This window comes from Homo sapiens, chromosome 13 (genome assembly GCF_000001405.40).
Source record: "Homo sapiens chromosome 13, GRCh38.p14 Primary Assembly".
NCBI classification, from domain to species: Eukaryota; Metazoa; Chordata; class Mammalia; order Primates; family Hominidae; genus Homo; species Homo sapiens.
Genome location: NC_000013.11, coordinates 73,627,777 through 73,645,758, shown reverse-complemented (window position 1 = coordinate 73,645,758; position 17,982 = coordinate 73,627,777). Strand labels below are relative to the sequence as shown.

At 41.8% G+C, this 17,982-nt stretch overlaps 2 long non-coding RNA genes across 12 annotated transcripts in view, besides 2 other annotated features; one reads left to right on the top strand and one right to left on the bottom strand.

Annotated features, from left to right (window-relative positions):
* The window catches only part of LINC00393 (long intergenic non-protein coding RNA 393), a 116,003-nt gene that overhangs the window by 16,145 nt on the left and 81,876 nt on the right, over positions 1-17,982 (top strand). The gene's annotated exons all lie outside the window — the stretch shown is intronic.
* Positions 4,346-4,987: an enhancer, noted in NCBI's record as "NANOG-H3K27ac-H3K4me1 hESC enhancer chr13:74214909-74215550 (GRCh37/hg19 assembly coordinates)". NCBI's record gives its function as "activates a minimal SCP1, AML or CMV promoter by ChIP-STARR-seq in primed H9 embryonic stem cells {active_cell/tissue: H9 hESC(primed)}" and the evidence as "EXISTENCE:reporter gene assay evidence [ECO:0000049][PMID:30033119]".
* Positions 4,988-5,629: an enhancer, noted in NCBI's record as "NANOG-H3K27ac-H3K4me1 hESC enhancer chr13:74214267-74214908 (GRCh37/hg19 assembly coordinates)". NCBI's record gives its function as "activates a minimal SCP1, AML or CMV promoter by ChIP-STARR-seq in primed H9 embryonic stem cells {active_cell/tissue: H9 hESC(primed)}" and the evidence as "EXISTENCE:reporter gene assay evidence [ECO:0000049][PMID:30033119]".
* The window catches only part of LOC105370256 (uncharacterized), a 42,020-nt gene continuing 35,376 nt past the window's right edge, over positions 11,339-17,982 (bottom strand). For all 11 annotated transcript variants that reach the window (XR_942064.1, XR_942067.1, XR_001749902.1 and 8 more), the window contains one exon: positions 11,339-14,232. This is a non-coding gene — a long non-coding RNA (uncharacterized LOC105370256). The remainder of the gene's footprint in view (positions 14,233-17,982) is intronic.

Here is a 17,982-nt window from a genome sequence, read left to right as displayed (position 1 = left end):
ATGTCTTCTTTTGAGAAGTGTCTGTTCATGTCCTTCGCCCACTTTTTGATGGGGTTGTTTGTTTTTTTCTTGTAAATTTGTTTGAGTTCATTGTAGATTCTGGATAGTAGCCCTTTGTCAGATGAGTAGGTTGTGAAAATTTTCTCCCATTTTGTAGGTTGCCTGTTCACTCTGATGGTAGTTTCTCTTGCTGTGCAGAAGCTGTTTAGTTTAATTAGATCCCATTTGTCAATTTTGGCTTTTGTTGCCATTGCTTTTGGTGTTTTAGACATGAAGTCCTTGCCCATGCCTATGTCCTGAATGGTAATGCCTAGGTTTTCTTCTAGGGTTTTTATGGTTTTAGGTCTAACGTTTAAGTCTTTAATCCATCTTGAATTAATTTTTGTATAAGGTGTAAGGAATGGATCCAGTTTCAGCTTTCTACATATGGCTAGCCAGTTTTCCCAGCACCATTTATTAAATAGGGAATCCTTTCCCCATTGCTTGTTTTTCTCAGGTTTGTCAAAGATCAGATAGTTGTAGATATGTGGCGTTATTTCTGAGGGCTCTCTTCTGTTCCATTGGTCTCTATCTCTGTTTTGGTACCAGTACCATGCTGTTTTGGTTACTGTAGCCTTGTAGTATAGTTTGAAATCAGGTAGTGTGATGCCTCCAGCTTTGTTCTTTTGGCTTAGGATTGACTTGGCGATGCGGGCTCTTTTTTGGTTCCATATGAACTTTAAAGTAGTTTTTTCCAATTCTGTGAAGAAAGGCATTGGTAGCTTGTTGGGGATGGCATTGAATCTCTAAATTACCTTGGGCAGTATGGCCATTTTCACGATATTGATTCTTCCTACCCATGAGCATGGAATGTTCTTCCATTTGTTTATATCCTCTTTTATTTTCTTGAGCAGTGGTTTGTAGTTCTCCTTGAAGAGGTCCTTCACATCCCTTGTAAGTTGGATTCCTAGGTATTTTATTCTCTTTGAAGCCATTGTGAATGGGAGTTCACTCATGATTTGGTTCTCTGTTTGTCTGTTGCTGGTGTATAAGAATGCTTGTGATGTTTGCACATTGATTTTGTATCATGAGACTTTGCAGAAGTTGCTTATCAGCTTAAGGAGATTTTGGGCTGAGACAATGGGGTTTTCTAGATATACAATCATGTCGTCTGCAAACAGGGACAATTTGACTTCCTCTTTTCCTAATTGAATACCCTTTATTTCCTTCTCCTGCCTGCTTGCCCTGGCCAGAATTTCCAACACTATGTTGAATAGGAGTGGTGAGAGAGGGCATCCCTGTCTTGTGCCAGTTTTCAAAGGGAATGCTTCCAGTTTTTGCCCATTCAGTATGATATTGGCTGTGGGTTTGTCATAGATACCTCTTATTATTTTGAAATACGTCCCATCAATACCTAATTTATTGAGAGTTTTTAGCATGAAGGGTTGTTGAATTTTGTCAAAGGCTTTTTCTGCATCTATTGAGATAATCATGTGGTTTTTGTCTTTGGCTCTGTTTATATGTTGGATTACATTTATTGATTTGTGTATATTGAACCAGCCTTGCATCCCAAGGATGAAGCCCACTTGATCATGGTGGATAAGCTTTTTGATGTGCTGCTGGATTCGTTTTGCCAGTATTTTATTGAGGATTTTTGCATCAATTTTCATCAAGGATATTGGTCTAAAATTCTCTTTTTTTGTTGTGTCTCTGCCTGGGTTTGGTATCAGAATGATCCTGGCCTCATAAAATGAGTTAGGGAGGATTCCCTCTTTTTCTATCAATTGGAATAGTTTCAGAAGGAATGGTACCAGTTCCTCCTTGTACCTCTGGTAGAATTCAGCTGTGAATCCATCTGGTCCTGGACTCTTTTTGGTTGGTAAGCTATTGATTATTGCCACGATTTCAGATCCTGTTATTGGTCTATTCAGATATTCAACTTCTTCCTTGTTTAGTCTTGGGAGAATGTATGTGTCGAGGAATTTATCCATTTCTTCTAGATTTTCTAGTTTATTTGCGTAGAGGTGTTTGTAGTATTCTCTGATGGTAGTTTGTATTTCTGTGGGATCAGTGGTGATATCCCCTTTATCATTTTTTATTGCGTCTATTAGATTCTTCTCTCTTTTTTTCTTTATTAGTCTTGCTAGTGGTCTATCAATTTTGTTGATCCTTTCAAAAAACCAGGTCCTGGATTCATTAATTTTTTGAAGGGTTTTTTGTGTCTCTATTTCCTTCAGTTCTGCTCTGATTTTAGTTATTTCTTGCCTTCTGCTAGCTTTTGAATGTGTTTGCTCTTGCTTTTCTAGTTCTTTTAATTGTGATGTTAGGGTGTCAATTTTGGATCTTTCCTGCTTTCTCTTGTGGGCATTTAGTGCTATAAATTTCCCTCTACACACTGCTTTGAATGTGTCCCAGAGATTCTGGTATGTTGTGTCTTTGTTCTCGTTGGTTTCAAAGAACATCTTTATTTTCTGCCTTGATTTCGTTATGTACCCAGTAGTCATTCAGGAGCAGGTTGTTCAGTTTCCACGTAGTTGAGCAGTTTTGAGTGAGATTCTTAATTCTGAGTTCTAGTTTGATTGCACTGTGGTCTGAGAGATAGTTTGTTATAATGTCTGTTCTTTTACATTTGCTGAGGAGAGCTTTACTTCCCAGTATGTGGTCAATTTTGGAATAGGTGTGGTGTGGTGCTGAAAAAAATGTATATTCTGTTGATTTGGGGTGGAGAGTTCTGTAGATGTCTATTAGGTCCACTTGGTGCAGAGCTGAGTTCAATTCCTGGGTATCCTTGTTGACTTTCTGTCTCGTTGATCTGTCTAATGCTGACGGTGGGGTGTTAAAGTTTTCCATTATTAATGTGTGGGAGTCTAAGTCTCTTTGTAGGTCACTCAGGACTTGCTTTATGAATCTTGGTGCTCCTGTATTGGGTGCATATATATTTAGGATAGTTAGCTCTTCTTGTTGAATTGATCCCTTTACCATTATGTAATGGCCTTCTTTGTCTCTTTTGATCTTTGTTGGTTTAAAGTCTGTTTTATCAGAGACTAGGATTACAACCCCTGCCTTTTTTTGTTTTCCATTTGCTTGGTAGATCTTCCTCCATCCTTTTATTTTGAGCCTATGTGTGTCTCTGCACATGAGATGGGTTTCCTGAATACAGCACACTGATGGATCTTGACTCTTTATCCAATTTGCCAGTCTGTGTCTTTTAATTGGAGCATTTAGTCCATTTACATTTAAAGTTAATATTGTTATGTGTGAATTTGATCCTGTCATTATGATGTTAGCTGGTTATTTTGCTCGTTAGTTGATGCAGTTTCTTCCTAGTCTTGATGGTCTTTACATTTTGGCATGATTTTGCAGCGGCTGGTACTGGTTGTTCCTTTCCATGTTTAGCGCTTCCTTCAGGAGCTCTTTTAGGGCAGGCCTGGTGGTGACAAAATCTCTCAGCATTTGCTTGTCTGTAAAGTATTTTATTTCTCCTTCACTTATGAAGCTTAGTTTGGCTGGATATGAAATTGTGGGTTGAAAATTCTTGTCTTTAAGAATGTTGAATATTGGCCCCCACTCTCTTCTGGCTTGTAGGGTTTCTGCCGAGAGATCCACTGTTAGTCTGATGGGCTTCCCTTTGAGGGTAACCCGACCTTTCTCTCTGGCTGCCCTTAACATTTTTTCCTTCATTTCAACTTTGGTGAATCTGACAATTATGTGTCTTGGAGTTGCTCTTCTCGAGGAGTATCTTTGTGGCGTTCTCTGTATTTCCTGAATCTGAACGTTGGCCTGCCTTGCTAGATTGGGGAAGTTCTCCTGGATAATATCCTGCAGAGTGTTTTCCAACTTGGTTCCATTCTCCCCATCACTTTCAGGTACACCAATCAGACGTAGATTTGGTCTTTTCACATAGTCCCATATTTCTTGGAGGCTTTGCTCATTTCTTTGTATTCTTTTTTCTCTAAACTTCCCTTCTCGCTTCATTTCATTCATTCCATCTTCCATCGCTGATACCCTTTCTTCCAGTTGATCACATCGGCTCCTGAGGCTTCTGCATTCTTCACGTAGTTCTCGAGCCTTGGTTTTCAGCTCCATCAGCTCCTTTAAGCACTTCTCTGTATTGGTTATTCTAGTTATACATTCTTCTAAATTTTTTTCAAAGTTTTCAACTTCTTTGCCTTTGGTTTGAATGTCCTCCCGTAGCTCAGAGTAATTTGATCGTCTGAAGCCTTCTTCTCTCAGCTCGTCAAAGTCATTCTCCATCCAGCTTTGTTCCGTTGCTGGTGAGGAACTGCGTTCCTTTGGAGGAGGAGAGGCGCTCTGCTTTTTAGAGTTTCCAGTTTTTCTGTTCTGTTTTTTCCCCATCTTTGTGGTTTTATCTACTTTTGGTCTTTGATGATGGTGATGTACAGATGGGTTTTTGGTGTGGATGTCCTTTCTGTTTGTTAGTTTTCCTTCTAACAGGACCCTCAGCTGCAGGTCTGTTGGAATACCCTGCCGTGTGAGGTGTCAGTGTGCCCCTGCTGGGGGGTGCCTCCCAGTTAGGCTGCTCAGGGGTCAGGGGTCAGGGACCCACTTGAGGAGGCAGTCTGCCCGTTCTCAGATCTCCAGCTGCGTGCTGGGAGAACCACTGCTCTCTTCAAAGCTGTCAGACAGGGACATTTAAGTCTGCAGAGGTTACTGCTGTCTTTTTGTTTGTCTGTGCCCTGCCCCCAGAGGTGGAGCCTACAGAGGCAGCCAGGCCTCCTTGAGCTGTGGTGGACTCCACCCAGTTCGAGCTTCCTGGCTGCTTTGTTTACCTAATCAAGCCTGGGCAATGGCGGGCGCCCCTCCCCCAGCCTCGCTGCCGCTGCTGCCTTGCAGTTTGATCTCAGACTGCTGTGCTAGCAATCAGCGAGACTCTGTGGGCATAGGACCCTCCAAGCCAGGTGCGGGATACAATCTCGTGGTGCGCCGTTTTTTAAGCCCGTCGGAAAAGCGCAGTATTCGGGTGGGAGTGACTCGATTTTCCAGGTGCCGTCCGTCACCCCTTTCTTTGACTCGGAAAGGGAACTCCCTGACCCCTTGAGCTTCCCAGGTGAGGCAATGCCTTGCCCTGCTTCGGCTCGTGCACGGTGCGCGCGCCCACTGACCGGCACCCACTGTCTGGCACTCCCTAGTGAGATGAACCCGGTACCTCAGATGGAAATGCAGAAATCACCGTCTTCTGTGTCGCTTAGGCTGGGAGCTGTAGACCAGAGCTGTTCCTATTCGGCCATCTTGGCTCCCCTTTCTTGGGGATCAAATTTCAACATGAGATTTGGAGGACAAACATTCAAACTATAGTAAGGCTTATAACAGTACATGAATAGTATGACAGTCAAAAGTTTTTTTGTTTTTATTTTTTTGTTGTTGTTGTTTTGAGACAGAGTCTTGCTCTGTCACCCAGGCTAGAGTGCAGTGGTGCTACTGCAACCTCCGCCCCCCAGGTTCAAGTGATTCTCCTACCTCAGCCTCCCGAGTAGCTGGGATTACAGGTACGTGCCACCATGCCCAGCTAATTTTTGTATTTTTAGTAGAGATGGGATTTTGCTAATTTGGCCAGGCTGGTCTTGAACTCCTGACCTCAAGTGATATGCCTGCCTCAGCCTCCCAAAGTGCTGGGATTACAGGTGTGAGCCACTGCACCCAGCCAAGAGTTATTTATACTAACAGTATAGTCTCATTTTTACCCCAAGACTGATGATCTTGGGAAACACTGATCAGTTTTATAAACAAAAGAGGATTCCCTCATATACACTGATGAAGCCTAATGTTTTGAATTCATGGGCTACTTTTTTGATAACTTCAACCAGGGACCTAATCAAGATCCCAAAAATATAACTTGAAAGAGCAATAACTCAAATAACTGAGGAGGAGTCCAGTCTCACTCGAGCGTTTCCCATTTAGCCTTAGTAGCTGGCACTGTTTCCTAAAATTCCCTCTTCTCCTCTCTCCCTCCCACCATTCTAAGAGGTAGAGTCTGATAGGAAAAAAAAAACAACAACCAGAAAAAGTTGAATGGCTCTACTACTTACCAATTGATGCTCTTAGACAAGTTAATTAATATTGTGGAACGTTGGTGTCCTCTGGTGTAAAATGGGGACTATAATGCCACTTTCCAGATGTTTTGGGAAGTTCAACTGGATTAGTGTCCATAAAATGAGTAGCAAACTGCCTGGCATGGTAGGCACTCAGTCAATAGTAGTTGCTTTCTCACTGCTGTTGACTGGGCCCCTAAAAGAAACCAGCTTGACTGGTGCTGGAAAGGCAAGTCCCCAGGACAGTCTTCCTTGAAAGCCCATGGGAGCCAACTCCATTAGCACAGTTTCTCTTTGGGAGCTCTATTAGCGGTTGCCTCTGACCACAGTCTATCTGCTGCCTTCATTGATTCTTTTTCAATATCAGTCATGCTAGGCACATGCAACATTTAGCCTCTGATTTCCTACACCAGGTATAGTAGGTAAGTCCTAAGTTGTCCCTAGGTCCACACATACAGTTTCAGGCAACCTTCACATCTCTGCTTCACTCATTGCCATGACACCCTGACCAGGTAGGTCTCAGCCTACCTCCCCACTCCTGATTCCTCACAGTGACACTTCCTACACCAATGATGGAAGGCAGGATAAAAAATCAATCTCTGACTTTTTTTCTTCTCCTCTCACACATTCTTCTCTTCCCCCTCTCCTCCTGCATCCCATCTCAACTTACTCCTTTCTTCCATTTTCTAAGTTCTCTTTTGAGGTTGATGAAGGAGAAAATAAACCTCGAGAAACAATGGATACCATTGTCTGAGTGTTTCCAGAAATGACTGATTAGTATTAAGTCTGCCAAATTGAAAATAATCAGTTTTTGGCACTCACTGGAGTTTATGCAGACAACACTAAACAATTTCATCTTTTCATGAGAAAAGATCCAAAGATAATTCTTAAGGAAAAATCTGACTTTGATGTCAGGTATCCCATGGCTCATCTCCTGGGAAGGTGTTTCACTCTTCACATGAATGCGGAGTCAGGTCAGCTTTACAGACTTGCTCATATGTGCCCCTCATTATATAGCTGGGATCCAAAATATAAGGGAGCGGGTAGAACTTCAGCCAGGAGCTGAGCATAGAATCTGTATCATATAGTAGTTAAAAGCCCAGCTCTAGTACCAGGCTACTGAGATGTGAAGCACTAGTTTATTGACCATGGGAAAATTTAATAAAATCTTGGTTTTGTAGTATAGAAAATAGATAGAATAATGTTTGTTACCCCAATAAGTTTGTGTGGGACTTATGCATTACAATCAAGGTCTGGAGCCTAGGAAGGTACTCAAAAAGTATTAGCTATTATTATTGTTGTTGATGATGTAATTGTTATTATTTTCCAAGCTGAAGCTAGAGAACTTAATTTAGGACTGAGAGAAGTAAAATAATATGTATGTAAAGAAGATAAGTAGATTGTTCGAGACAGTGGTTCAAAAACTTGAGGGTACATCATAATCACAGAGAGGGCTTGTAAACATTTACACAGAGCGCTAGCCCTGCCCCTGGAGTTTCTTTTAGTACTTCTGAGATAGGGAAAGAGAATTTGCATTTATTTTTGTTTTTGTTTTTTGAGACAGGGTCTTACTCTGTCGCCCAGACTGGAGTGCAATGGAGTGATCATGGCTTACTGCAGCCTTGACCTCCCAGCCTCAAGTGATCCTTCCTCCTCAGCCTTCTGAGTAGCTGGGAATACAGGCATGCGCCACCGCATCCAGCTAATTTTTTTTAATTTTTAGTAGAGATGAGGTCTCACTATGTTGGCTAGGCTGGTCTTAAACTCCTCAGCTCAAGAGATCCTCCTGCCTCAGCCTCCCAATGTGCTAGGATGACAGGTATGAACCCGGGCGCCCAACCTGCATTTCTAGGCAGAACTCAGTTGATGCTGTTGGGGCTTGTCTGTGGGCCATGCTTGGAGCAGTACTAAGTTATGCTATTTCTCTTTGAGAAAAAGAATTTGAGTTTTTATCAATGGTTGATACAAAACATGGCCACGTTTCTATAACTTTTTTCTGAGGAAGCAGGGTCGAGGCTCGCCAGTTTTCAATGCCCTATAAATGAATACTTAGGTTGATTCTTCTCATTCACCAGACATGTAAACTGAGCCTCTGTGATGTGCCTGGCACTGTGCTAGGTACTAGAAATAGAGCAGTGCATCAGACAGACACTCTCCCTATCCCCACGGAGCTGACAGCCTGCTGGGGTGATAGGCATTAAGCAAATAATTACACAAATGCAAAATTACAGATTCTATTGAGTAAAAGAACTTAATTCTCCTATCAACACTGTGAGATAGTACAAATATTATTGTCCCTATTTTAGAGCTAAGGAAAAATGTACAGAATCAAATAATTTTAAGGCTGGCAGAACTCTTAGAAGTCACCTCTCTTAAACTCAATACAAACAGAGTTAAAGAACTTCCTCAAAGTCACAAGAGTAACTGGCATCAAAGCTGAAATTAGATTCTCATTTGAATTTTCTCTTCATACTGTCTGAAAACTGAAAACATGGGCTTGGTGTTTTATAGCATGTATGCTATATATAACATATCAACTATGTTAGCAAGAAAAAAATAATAACAAGGGAGCCAGCAGGTGACAAAAATAGACTTTCTGCCAGACTGATTTAGAGCATTGTGTGATATTTATAACTTCATTTCTACTTCTCTTGGTGGCCTGGAAGTCAGACATTATTTTTTTATTATGTTATTTAGTGAGTGTTTTTCTCTCTGAATTTTGGAATAAATTGTCAAAAGAACACTTGACCTTATCTGATGAAGTTTTACTATAAGTCATTTATTTTTAAAATTGAAAACCTTATTTAAAACAGTCCACAATTTCTGAAAATAAGCTACTTTACAAATTTTTGTAAAAATATAATTGTAATTATTTTGTAAAACACCTCTCTATCAGGTACTCATTAACCTTGTCAATTTTTTTCTCGGTTCTAATAACAACAAAACTAAAAAATCCATAAAGTAAATAAGAAATATTATTACTAATTAGAACACATTGAAAGAGAGTGATGAGAATCCTGTATATTTCAAGTCACAAATTTTAGAGAAAAACTTTTAAATGACATGAGACATATCCATTACATACATGACTTTTTGAGCTATGAAAATTAGATCTTAACCTCAATTAAATAATTCTGAACCTGGTTACAAGGGATCTCATTTTTGTGATCTGTAAATGTGTGGAGTGGAGAGTAAATCATGGCGCCCCACATTATTTCTCACGCGTATATGATCACAGAGTTTCAAAGTCACCAGAGCCAGATGGAAATCTTCTTTAAAAATCAGATAAAGTAGTATTTCTAGAGTCAAAAAAAAAAAAAAAAAAAAAAGATGGAAAATGCCTACTCTTACCTCCGATCGTATGGATGAAGAAACCAAGTTCCTGAGAGGAAATGACTTGGCCATGATTGCTATCGGTGGCAAATCTGTATGGGTCTAGACCAACCTCAGTTCTTGCCTCCTCAGAAGAAATAATTTGACCAAAGTGCATAAAGCAGAGTGAGAGACTGAGGCAAGTTTTAGGGCAGGAGTAGAAGTTATTAAAAAGCTTTAGAACAAGAGAGAAAAAAATACAAAATATACTTGGAAGAGGGCCAAGTGGGAGACTTGAGAGATCAAGGGCACAGTTTGACCTTTGACCTGGGGTTTTACACATTGGCATGCTTCTTGGGAGGTTGCAGCCCTTCTCTCCTGATTCTTCCCTTTGGCTGTCTGCATGTGCAGTGGCCTGCTAGTGCTTGGGAGGGCCTGCGTGTGCAGTGTGTTTACTGAAGTTGTGTGCATGCTCACCTGAGGCGTTTTCCCTTACCAGTCCAGTGTTCCTAAAGGAAGGTCATATACCAGTTAAACTCTGAGGCCATTTTGCCTCAGTTGGGTGAGTGGACACCTCTTAGTGTGCATGCTTGAGCCCACTTGCCCAACTCCTGAGATCTTATCGGGAAGCCGCTGATCACCAGCTTCAGGTGTTTTCTATCTGTTGGGAGACTGTCTTTTCATGGCGCTGGCTGCAACCCATTATTACTTTAGAGAGATAGTTTAAAAACCTCCTGGCCATCACCTGATGGTTGCCTGACATTCCTGGTGGGGTTGGGGGAGGCTCTTCTGCCCTGCTCATGTCTGACTAGTTGCCTACTGTAACATGATCACATGGCAAACTCCCAATCTCCTGATTCCTCATCTGGTGCTTTTCTCTGAGCTATGGTAGTGGCAGTGTTTTATAAGTTTTATCGTATCCCCTTTCTTCCACCCCATGGGTGCCCCTTCAGCCAAGGTAAGGAATTTCTTATACCTGCTGTCAAGGGAGAGAAAAAATTGCAAAGTCAAAGGAGTCTATTCCTGGCTTTGGTGTTGCATAAGCCTAGATCTTGGAATGAAACAAGAGATTTGAAACGATGCATGATGAGATAAGAGCAAGCATTCCTGCCTCAAGCTGGAGAAAGATTATCTGGGATGAGGAAGGAGAAGTTCAAAAGGCAGACGCAGAATTTAGACACTGTTGGTTTCTGAGAAGGGAGCCAGTGACCTGCTTCTTCTTAGCCAAACACCCAGGGGGAGAGGGTGCCATAGAACTCTGGATGCAGTTGGAAGGTCCAGGAGCAAAGAGGATCTAAGTCCCCATCCCTTGGAGACAGAGGGAGCCTTCAGCATCCCCAGCCTTCATGGCAGGGAGCAGAAGCAGGGCTGGGTGAATGAGCCTCAGACAGTTTCGTCAGGTTCTCAGTTCTACTCCTTGGCACAGAAGCAATGGAATGATGACATGCACCCAAGAAGGATGGACATGGCACAAAAGCGGAGGAGCCAGAAGGAGGCTGAGGCTGTGGCTGAGGAGGGAGGCAGCTGAGACCTACAACAATCACTGTAGGTCCTGCAGGCGTGGATGCCAGCCCTTCTTTCAGCCCCTGCCCATGCCTCTACACTATGTAAGCCACCCTATATTTAGACCTAATCCCGAGGAAAGGAAGGAGTAGCTGAAAGTGGGGGTAGGAGACCACATTGTCTTGACTGAGATCAAATTTCCAACCATTTGGCCAAATAGGAAATGAAAATAAATATTAAGTTCAGTCATAAGAAAATAGAGAAATTTCTGGTACAAGAGTTTGTGGGTGAGGTTTGTTTCTTTTTTTCCTGCTACAATCTTACTGCTTATTTGGCTTGAATGCAGTTTTTACAAATGGCAAAGAGTTACTTTCCTGAATTCAACTTAAGAAACAATAATTTAGTCCAATTAGGTGGCATTTAAATGGCCTTAAATAACATTTGAGGAAATGCTGCAACTCCTCTTTTAAATGAAAAACTGTTGGGAAGAACAATTTCTATCTTTAAATATTTTAATGTAAAACTTGTGTTGGTATTACATTTTGGATTTGAAGACCAATTCAGCCCCCATACATTCCCTTCTCACATCCTGTGTTAAGAACTTTCCAGTCGACTGCAGCGCGGGCCTCCAGACAAGACCTCCCAACTTCCTCTGGGACACACCCCCAGCTCACTGTCAGCAGAGAACATGATCATTTCCTTATTGTAATCCAAATGGTCCTCCTTACTTTGCAATCTTATTGTTATTTACACATTTCAGATGTTCCCACATTTATTTCTGAAGCACATGCAATTAACTTTCAACTAACATTTACTCATGCCCTTGGGAATTACCATTTGTATCTTCTCTTTAAAAAAAAAAAAAAAAAAGGACAAGGGTCTAGCTCCCTTTTCTGTGCATGGGAGGTGTCAGGAAGCAGCATGCTCCCATAGTTAAAGCAGAGGCTTTGGAGCCCTTTCTGTCTTTGAGTCTTTAGGCAAATCACTTAACCTATGTAAGCCTCAGTTTTCTCATTTGTAAAATGAAGATATAATAGTTTCTACCTCTTGGGGTTGGAAGGATTAAATGTAACCCATGTGAAATACTTCGTGCTGTTTCTGGCAAATGGTTAGTGTTCAAGAAATGGCAATGATTATTACTATTGTGTGACCTGGAACAAGGGATCTGCCACATCTGTCCTCTCCCACCCCCAGTAATTTTCTTCTTCACTTTGTACTATTATTCCTTAAATGCTTGTTGAATATATTCTGAATGAAGCATTTACCATTTGCTTTCAGTATTCAGTTCAATAAACTTTAATTAAACCCACACCATGCACCAGACACCATGGTAGTGAAACAAAATGGATAAAATGTAGTCTCTATTCTTTGTCTTACAGTGTGGGAGTGTTTTAATAATTTCACATACGTGCATGTTGAGTGGAGGGGGCACTGGAGAATCATTGAAGGCTTTCTGGGGGAGGCCACCACTAACCTGAGTCCTGAGCCATGTGTGAGAGTTAGCCAGGTGAAGAATGGTGGGCAGACCTTTCCAGGCATTGAGAAGAACATGGAACACAGGAAGAAACAACATGAAGACATGGTATGTGGGGGAAACATACCCCCACCGTTTGTGGAGACTGGGGTAAAAGTGCAAATGGAGGTAGCATATCTTACATCTAAATAGTTAGACACTATAAATCAAGCTAACCACCTGCTATGTAAAACAAGGTTTATGCTCCTACCTTGACAAATATATCTTCATAACATCTTGGAAGGCTGGGTTCTAATTTGGAATTTTAGAATTTATTGGAATTCCAGGCTAGAAATATGATGGTAAGGAAAGACAGCCCTTAACCGATGGTCTACTGCTATGGGCTGAAAGTTTGAGTCCCTCCAAAATTCACATGCAGAAACTCTAATCCTCAGTATAATGATATCTGGGATGGGGTCTCTGGGAGGTAAGTGGGTCATGAGGGTGGAACCCTCATGATGGGATTAACACCCTTGTTTTAGTTTTCTGCCCACCTCCCCGACCCACAACACCATGTGAGGAAACCAGGAAGAAAGTTCTCACCAGACACCGGATCTGCTGGCACCTTGATCTTTGTCTTAGCAGCGTTCAGAACTGTTAGAAATAAATTTCTGTGATTTAAGTCACCCGGTCTGTGGTATTTTGTGATAGGACCCCCTAAACAGACTGACATCCATCTTCCTGTTTTCTTACCCCTGGTTCCACAGCCCACCTCCTCCTTTTTGGCAACACTGCTAACATTTGCCTCTTGGCCAGCCTACCTCACACTTGCCCAGAGGCATGTGCTATCCTTCAGAGCATAAATTCAGAAAATTAACCCATGCCAGCTTTGGAAAGGGTTTTGGGTCCTTTGTCCAGGGAAGTCGGGATACCAAACATCTGAGGCATGGTCCACAAGAAGGAAACTTGGGCTACAGGTGATTTCTGCTCAGCTACCTAGATTCCTCACCTGTGGGAAGACCAGGCAGCACCAGAGCTGAGGCCTCTGAAGATCTAAGCTCAGCACAGATACCCTGCACGCCTGGGTCTAGGAGTGGTACTGAAGGGAAGTTACAATTCTCCATATAGGCACATAAAGAGGAAGGCAGAGAGAGTGCTATAAAAGGCTGGAGGGGGAGATAGGATCTGTCATGGATGTCTTTGCGTTAAAGTGGGGCTGAACTGGAATCCTTTGCTTATGTGGAAACACTGAAAGACTGTGTGCAAAGAAATGTCATGATTACATACTTTTTAAAGTAAATAATCGGCTACGGTTTGGAGAACAGATTGAGAGTCAAAAGTCAAAACAAAACAGGGGTACAGTTTGGGATGGTCCAGATGATAGATGAAGTAGAATTCTGGGGAGATGAGAAGATGGGGTCAGTCCATGCTTTGGAGGTAAAATGGATTGGAACTGCAGAGTGGAGGTGCCAGTAGGAAATTGTGAAGGATGGAAGACTACAGGATTTGGGTTACTGGCTTTGTATCAGTTTTTTAAATTGCTGTCATAAGAAATTACCACAAATTTAGCAGCTTAAAACAATACCTATGTATTATCTCACAGCGTGTCTCATCTAGATTCCCTGCTTAGAATCTCAGAAGGTTAAAATCAAGGTGTCAATGGGGCTCCATTCCCTTCTGGAAGATTTGTGAATGCATCCGCTTCTAAGTGCACACAGGCTGTGGGTTAAAGTCAATTCTTTGAGGCTGCAGCACTGAGGTTCCCATTTCCTTACTAGCTGTCAGCCAGGGCGAGTCTTTACTCCTAGATGCTACACACGTTTCTTCTCAAGCGTTCCATCTGGACCCCTTCCAGTGACAGCAGGTTGAATTCCTCTCATGCTTTGATTCTCTCCAGCTCCCCTTTCTGTGGCATTTCTCTGCTGCATCTCTCTTCTGCAATCAGAAGAGAACATTTTCTGCTTTTAAGGACACATGATTAAATTAGCTAATCCAGAACAATCGCTCCATTCTCAGATCTGCAAAGTTCTTTCTGCCATTTAACAATACATTCACAGGTTTTGAGGATTGGAATGTGAAGTCTTTAGAGGAAGGGTCTCCAACTCTTGGGCCAAAGACTGGTACCAGGCAGCTAGAAACCGGGCAGCAGCCAGGCACAGTGGCTCATGCCTGTAATCCCAGCACTTTGGGAGACCAAGGCAGGTGGATCGCTTAAGCTCAGCAGTTTGAGATCAGCTTGGGCAACATGGCCAAACCTTGTCTCTACTAAAAATACAAAAAAGCACATTGCATTTATTGTGCACTTTATTTACAGCTGGGTGGTGGCACGTCCCTGTGGTCCCAGCTACTCAGGAGGCTGAGGTGGGAGGACCGCTTGAGCCCAGAGGATCAGAGGTTGCAGCCAGCCGAGATTGTGCCACTGCATTCCAGCCTGGGTGACAGAGCAAGACCCTGCCTCCAAAAAAAAAAAAGAGAGGAACTTAGCCACACAGTAGGTGGCAGGTAAATGAGTGTTACTGCCTGAGCTCCACCTCCTGTCAGATCTGCCCTGGCATTAGATTCTCACAGGAGCGTGAACCCTATTGTGAACTATGCATGCGAGGCATCTAAGTTGCATGCTCCTTATGAGAATCTAATGCCTGATGATCTGTCACTGTCTCCCATCACCCACAGAGGCGACCATCTAGTTGCAGGAAAATAAGCTCAGCAATAATTAATAGCCTACCAACCAAAAAAAGTCCAGGACCAGATGGATTCACAGCCGATTTCTATCAGAGGTACAAGGAGGAGCTGGTACCATTCCTTCTGAAACTATTCCAATTGATAGAAAAAGAAGGAATCCTCCCTAACTCATTTTATGAGGCCAGCATCATCCTGATACCAAAGCCTGGCAGAGACACAACAAAAAAAGAGACTTTTAGACCAATATCCCTGATGAACATTCATGCAAAAATCCTCAATAAAATACTGGCAAATCGAATCCAGCAACACATCAAAAAGCTTATCCACCATGATCAAGTGGGCTTCATCCCTGGGATGCAAGCCTGGTTCAACATACGCAAATCAATAAACGTAATCCAGTATATAAACAGAACCAAAGACAAAAACCATATGATTATCTCAATAGATGCAGAAAAGGCCTTTGACAAAATTCAACAGCCCTTCACACTAAAAACTCTCAGTAAATTAGGTATTGATGGGATGTATCTCAAAATAATAAGAGCGATTTATGACAAACCCACCATTAATATCACACTGAATGGGCAAAAACTGGAAGCATTCCCTTTGAAAACTGGCACAAGACAGGGATGCCCTCTCTCACCACTCCTATTCAACATAGTGTTGGAAGTTCTGGCCAGGACAAGCAGGCAGGAGAAAGAAATAAAGGGTATTCAATTAGGAAAAGAGGAAGTCAAATTGTCCCTGTTTGCAGATGACATGATTGTATATCTAGAAAACCCCATTGTCTCAGCCCAAAATCTTAAGCTGATAAGCAACTTCAGCAAAGTCTCATGATACAAAATCAATGTGCAAACATCACAAGCATTCTTATACACCAATAACAGACAAACAGAGAACCAAATCGTGAGTGAACTCTCATTCACAATTGCTTCAAAGAGAATAAAATACCTAGGAATCCAACTTACAAGGGATGTGAAGGACCTCTTCAAGGAGAACTACAAACCACTGCTCAACGAAATAAAACAGGGCATAAACAAATGGAAGAACATTCCATGGTCATGGACAGGAAGAATCAATATCGTGAAAATGTCCATACTGCCCAAGGTAATTTATAGATTCAATGCCATCCCCATCAAGCTACCAATGACTTTCTTCACAGAATTGGAAAAAACTACTTTAAAGTTCATATGGAACCAAAAAAGAGCCCGCATTGCCAAGTCAATCCTAAGCCAAAAGAACAAAGCTGGAGGCATCACACTACCTGACTTCAAACTATACTACAAGGCTGCAGTAACCAAAACAGCATGGTACTGCTACCAAAACAGAGATATAGACCAATGGAACAGAACAGAGCCCTCAGAAATAATACCACACATCTACAACCATCTGATCTTTGACAAACCTGACAAAAACAAGAAATGGGGAAAGGATTCCCTATTTAATAAATGGTGCTGGGAAAACTGACTAGCCATATGTAGAAAGCTGAAACTGGATCCATTCCTTACACCTTATACAAAAATTAATTCAAGATGGATTAAAGACTTAAATGTTAGACCTAAAACCATAAAAACCCTAGAAGAAAACCTAGGCATTACCATTCAGGACATAGGCATGGGCAAGAACTTCATGTCTAAAACACCAAAAGCAATGGCAGCAAAAGCCAAAATTGACAAATGGGATCTAATTAAACTAAAGAGCTTCTGCACAGCAAAAGAAACTACCATCAGAGTGAACAGGCAACCTACAGAATGGGACAAAATTTTTGCAATCTACTCATCTGACAAAGGGCTAATATCCAAAATCTACAAAGAACTCAAACAAATTTACAAGAAAAAAACAACCCCATCAAAAAGTGGGCAAAGGATATGAACAGATACTTCTTAAAAGAAGACATTTATGCAACCAACAGACACATGAAAAAATGCTCACCATCTGGCCATCAGAGAAATGCAAATCAAAACCGCAATGAGATACCATCTCACACCAGTTAGAATGGCGATCATTAAAAAGTCAGGAAACAACAGGTGCTGGAGAGGATGTGGAGAAATAGGAACACTTTTATACTGCTGGTGGGACTGTAAACTAGTTCAACCATTGTGGAAGGCAGTGTGGTGATTCCTCAAGGATCTAGAACTAGAAATACCATTTGACCCAGCCATCCCATTACTGGGTATATACCCAAAGGATTATAAATCATGCTGCTATAAAGACACATGCACACGTATGTTTATTGCGGCACTATTCACAATAGCAAAGACTTGGAACCAACCCAAATGTCCATCAATGATAGACTGGATTAAGAAAACGTGTCACATATACACCATGGAATACTATGCAGCCATAAAAAATGATGAGTTCATGTCCTTTGTAGGGACATGGATGAAGCTGGAAACCATCATTCTCAGCAAACAATCGCAAGGACAGAAAACCAAACACTGCATGTTCTCACTCATAGGTGGGAATTGAACAATGAAAACACTTGGACACAGGAAGGAGAACATCACACACTGGGGCCTGTTTTGGGGTGGGGGGAGGTGGGAGGGATAGCATTAAGAGATATATCTAATGTAAATGATGAGTTAATGGGTGCAGCACACCAACATGGCACACGTATACATATGTAACGAACTTGCATGTTGTGCATATATACCCTAGAACTTATAGTATAATAAAGAAAATAGAAAGAAAAGAAAATAAGCTCAGGGCTACTACTGATTCTATGTTGTGACAAGTTGTATAATTATTTCATTATGTGTTACAGTGTAATAATAATAGAAATAAAGTGCACAATAAATGGGATGTGCTTGAATCATCTTGAAACCATCCTGCTCTCCTGGTCTGTGGAAAAACTGTCTTCCATGAAACCAGTGCTTGGTGCCAAAAAGGTTGGGGACTGCTGCTTTAGAGGGTCCATTCTGCCTACCATGGGCTGTAAAAAGCTCCTGGAATTATGTAGTCTAAATGACCAGCTCGGTCTACAGATGTCCCTTTTCGAAGGCCAGT